Raw genomic sequence first — 4,961 nt, 5'->3', positions numbered from 1 at the left:
CAACAACACACTGAATGCATTAGACCTCCTCTTGCAATATAAGTGCAATAGCAGATTTGGTGAGGAAGAGAAAAAAAAACTATTTTTTGGAAAATTAATTTTGATAACAGTATGAAAGATGTCAGAGAAAGAAAATAGCAACGTGCATTACAATAGTCTGTAGGTGTTTGTATTAAGAAAAGAATGAGGAACAGACACAGAATGACAAGAAGCGCTGTGGAAATGGAAGGAGGCACAGGTGAGACTCCCTGGTGCTACAGTCATAGGGCTCAGTGGTTCTGGGTGCTTGTGATGGTGGCCACCACCCGTGACCTCAGAGGGCACAGCTAGTGCCTCACAGTGGGGTTAAACCCTCCTTCGGTTCACTTTCTTTTCTTTCTTTCTTTTTTTTTTTTTTTTAGACAGAGTTTCCTCTATCACCCAGGCTGGAGTGCAGTGGCACAATCTCAGCTCACTGCAACCTCCACCTCCCAGGTTCAAGCAATTCTCCTGCCTCAGCCACCCAAGTAGCTGGGATTACAGGCATACACCACTGTGCCCAGCTAATTTTCGTATTTTTGGTAGAAATGGGGTTTCACTGTTTTGGCCAGGCTGGTCACGAACTCCTGACCTCAAGTGATCCACCTGCCTTGGCCTCCCAAACTGCTGGGAGATTACAGGTGTGAGCCCGGCCTTTCCATTCACTTTCTCATACTTATTGGACATCAGATTACTCCATAAGTGGTTAAATAATTCTGCCAAGTAAAATTAGCACGGCTGTTTTACTCTTATTTCTAAGCCTTCCTATGACTTTGAAGCTCTGTCGTAAAAGAGTAATCACACATATTATCATCACATGTCTCTAATCTCGGAAAGCAGGTCATGTGTCTTCAAAGTGCTGCTGAGACAGAGAGGAAGCAAAAAGCACAAATCCATGTAGTCATGGGGAGAGAAGAATTTCTACTCTACCCCTTTTATGCTTGTCTACCCAAAAAGCCCCATGGAAATAACTCAAATTTTTTTAATGTTTTGAACAATTTAATCATATCTGTTCATGGATTTTCATCAATTTTCTTACCTCTCCAAATCTGGCTACTATCAAACCAGTCACCTACGAAGTCTAGAATGACATTTTCTACTCTAGCTGTTTTCTGTCAATAACTCATTTCTATCAAAATAAATGTATCCGAGGGATGAATTGTTTTAAAGTCTACTTATAGTATTGCATGTGTTTGTTTTTCACAGCATGTTAATATAAACTAGAACCTAGTATATTTTTTGAGAAAGGGTATTGCTCTGTTGCAGTGGTACAATCAGGGCTTACTGCAGCCTGGACCTCCTGGGCTTAAGCAAACCTTCCAGCTCAGCCTCCCAAGTAACTGGAAACACAGTCCTGGCTACTTTTTTATTTTTGCTTTTTGTAGAAATGGGGTCTCACTGTGTTATTTTTGCGTTTTGTAGAGACGGGGTTTCACTCTGTTGCCAAGGCTGGTCGCAAACTCCTGGGCTCAAGTTATCATCCCACATTGACCTCCCAAAATTCTGGAATTACAAGCATGAGCCACTGCACTCAGCGAATTTAATATTAATGTGTTATTTTATTGAGCTTTCAGAGCACAAGCTATCAGATAATTTTGGTCAAGAAGAAAAGAAAAATACTTAGATCTTTCAGTCTATGAAATTAGCCATCTGGATTAATTAAATTTATATTTAACAGATACTGCCAACTTCTCTATGTGTTGTTTGCACATAATCATGGTACCTAATGTAGCCTTGATTATCTTGCTTTATTTTTCTTTTCAATTATCTAAGTAATCTTTTCTTCATCATGACATATTGAAATGCATTTGTTTTGTGCATTACAATGTTACCAACCCTACCTACTGGCTCATTTAAAAGGTTAAAGGTGATAGTCCCATGATTTATTGTTCATTAGCTTCTCCCCTTCCAAAATTCTTCTGATATCATTTGTAGTCATCAACAAAGCTATTTACAAACTTGCAAAGCAGGCATTTGCTTGGCGTTGAATGTTATGACAAGCAATGCCTTCCCTCAAGATGTTCATAGTTCAGTTAAGGAGAGAAGTCAGTTCAGGCTGCTGTAAAAACATTACCATGAACTGAGTGGCTTAAAACAACAAACACTTACTTTTCACAATTCTGGAGGTGGGAAGCCCAAGGTCAAGGTGCCAGCAGACCCAGCATCTGGTGAGGAATCTCCTCCCAATTTGCAGAAGACTGTTTTGCTTCTCTAAAAAACCCGGCCTTCACCCTCTTACTCTGAAATCTGCTCAAAATCTCTGAGACCCTTCAGTATGAGCCCCACGTAATGCTCCTGAGACCATAGCAATAGAAAATTATGCTAGAACATGAATTTCATGGATGTCCAACAGTGCATTCAACATGTATGGTTATCTATGCATTCAACACGTATGATAACACGATTCCGTGTCCCAGGCACTATTCCAATTGGCAGGAACACCATGATGAACAGACACATCCCTTGTCTACATGGAGAAGTTTAGATTCCTTGCCTGCATGTTGATGAGGACCTGACCCTAAAATTTATATTTTGTTACAGAACTCTACATTATAAGACAAATAATCAGATTTTCCCTAAAAGCAGGAATGATTTTCCAGCCTCAATATCAAGCATAAAGAGCCTTTTGTGACCCTACCCACCTGAAATCGAAAGTTCACTGAATTTTTCAACCATAGAGTTAGGGCTCCATTGAGAGTTGTAACCGCCAACACTCAGTTGTATTAAGAATTCATCATTTCACTGAAGAATTTTGCTTAATTCTGCAACTGATTTAAGGGAAATGGATCCAGAACATTGCAAGTTATTTTGCTAATGTGATATTATCAGTTTTCAGTCAATACAATGTTTGTAAAACAAATGTCATATATATTCATGGAAAAATTAAATGAAGAAAAATCTAGCTCTATTTTCCATTAATCTTTTAACATAATAACTATGTTTGCTATACTTTTTATGTTAAAACATGCTTAAGTTCTTGGAATAAGCCCTATGTAGATAAGACATATTATTTCTCATCTACATTCCTAAATAAAATGTACTGATAATTTTTTCCAAATAAACAAAATGCTCATGAAATTATAGAGGGAGAGAACTGAGATTCTGAATTAAAGACGACATAAAGAGAAAGGCTGAATGTATTTGTTGTTATCCCAGACACATTTTAATTTTATTTTTGTGTATATATATTTGGGACTATTTATAATAAGCATGCATGTTGGAAGAGGATATAAATGAATTAAGGTGCGGTCACTCTCCTTTTAAAGTGTTGCTTTAGGGTTGATGGTTTACATGGAAATATTTTTTGAATATAATGAAAAGAATGAAAAAGATGATCACAATACAGCATGCATATCTAAAATGATCTAATTTTATTTAAAGCTGTCCAGCTAACAATTAAACTCAACATTTATTGAAATGTTAGAAGATGTAAACTATCAATTCTTTTTGTTTCTAACACCTTTTTCTTTCCCCATTTCTCACTGCTATTCCCCCACCCACACACATAAATATTGAAAAGTCAATTATGTTCCTGGTATAGCTTCTTTGTAAGCTATCCTACAGGAGCAGTTAATAAACAGCTATTTTCCTTCTGCCAAAATGACCTGAACATGGCCCATTCATTCATCTGTTAATTTTCTTCTTTGGTAAATATATTTTGAGCAGCCACATAGCTCTAGATGCTATTCTAAAGACTGGGTGTACAGCATTCAGGAAAATATGCGAAAAATCAGCTATGACAGCCTGGAAATTGTATGTTAGGGGTGATAATTGCTACAGGAAAAAAGAAAAAGACTAAGGACTATTAGAAATGTGTAGCTGAGTCCACACCGTGGAGTAGAGGTGAACAGAAAAGGCCAGGAAGGCTGGCACTTGAGAAGGCCCCCAGGGAGTGAGGCTCACATGGCGCAGGATGGGGCAGGCACTTGGAGCGGCTGGCTCTGGCAGGGTGCATGTCAAGGGTGTTTTGGGAAGACAAACGGCTGTGAGACTGAGGTGGTGAATGAGGAGAGTGGTCAGAGATGAGACCTGCCATGGACAAAGTGAGTCCTCAGATTCCTTTGTGGAAGCCCTAACCAACCACCATGGGAATGTATCAGGAGGTGAGACCTTGGGAGGTGATTAGGTTTTGATAAGGTTATGAGGCTGTGCACCATGAATGCATGAGTACCTTATTAGAGGAGTCAGCAGAGAGCTCCCTCTGTCTGCCATCTGTGAGTTGACAGCCAGCAGGTGGCCTTTTGCAAGTCAAGAATGTAGCCCTCACCAGGGAGAGGAAAAGGCAGGAACCTTGATCTTGGACTTCCAGACTCTAGAAGCATGAGAGCCTTAATGCCTGTTGCTTGAGCCACCCAGTCTGTGGTATGTTGTCACACCAGCCCAGGCAGGCTAATTCTAGATCTGAGAGTTAGTGGTGCCAGATTATGTGGAGTGTAGAGTTAAGGTGATCATATTCCCAGTTCATGCCTGGGAATAATGGCCTTATTCAATAGTAACTATGGATAAATCTGCATTTTTGCCCTCAGAAATGAACCAAGGTGAACAGAAAAGCATGCTGTCATCTCACTTCTAGGCCACTGTAAGAACAGTCTCTTTCTTGAGGTGGGTGATGAGTGGGTGTCAGAAGTGTCATAATTTTTTACTTTGTTTGAGCAGGATCATTCCAGGTGATGTGTTAAAACTAGAACAGGGGTTGGCAAACTTTGACTCTTTGTGCTCTGTACCACAGCTGAGTAATAATCATTTTAAACTCAGGGGGCTGGCTGGGTGGGGAGGTTCACTCCTCTAATCCCAGCACTTTGGGAGGCCGAGGTGGGCAGATCAGTTGAAGTCAGGAGTTCGAGATCAGCCTGGCCAAAATGGTGAAATCCCATCTCTACCAAAAAATACAAAAATTAGGTGGGTGTGGCGGCACATGCCTGTAATCCCAGCTACTCAGGAGG

The 4,961-nt window shown here is 40.0% G+C and overlaps 1 annotated feature.

Annotated features, from left to right (window-relative positions):
- Positions 3,996-4,497: an enhancer, noted in NCBI's record as "NANOG hESC enhancer chr10:2179631-2180132 (GRCh37/hg19 assembly coordinates)". NCBI's record gives its function as "activates a minimal SCP1, AML or CMV promoter by ChIP-STARR-seq in naive H9 embryonic stem cells {active_cell/tissue: H9 hESC(naive)}" and the evidence as "EXISTENCE:reporter gene assay evidence [ECO:0000049][PMID:30033119]".

This window comes from Homo sapiens, chromosome 10, assembly GCF_000001405.40.
Source record: "Homo sapiens chromosome 10, GRCh38.p14 Primary Assembly".
Lineage (NCBI taxonomy): Eukaryota > Metazoa > Chordata > Mammalia > Primates > Hominidae > Homo > Homo sapiens.
This window is presented reverse-complemented; position numbering and strand designations above follow the sequence as displayed.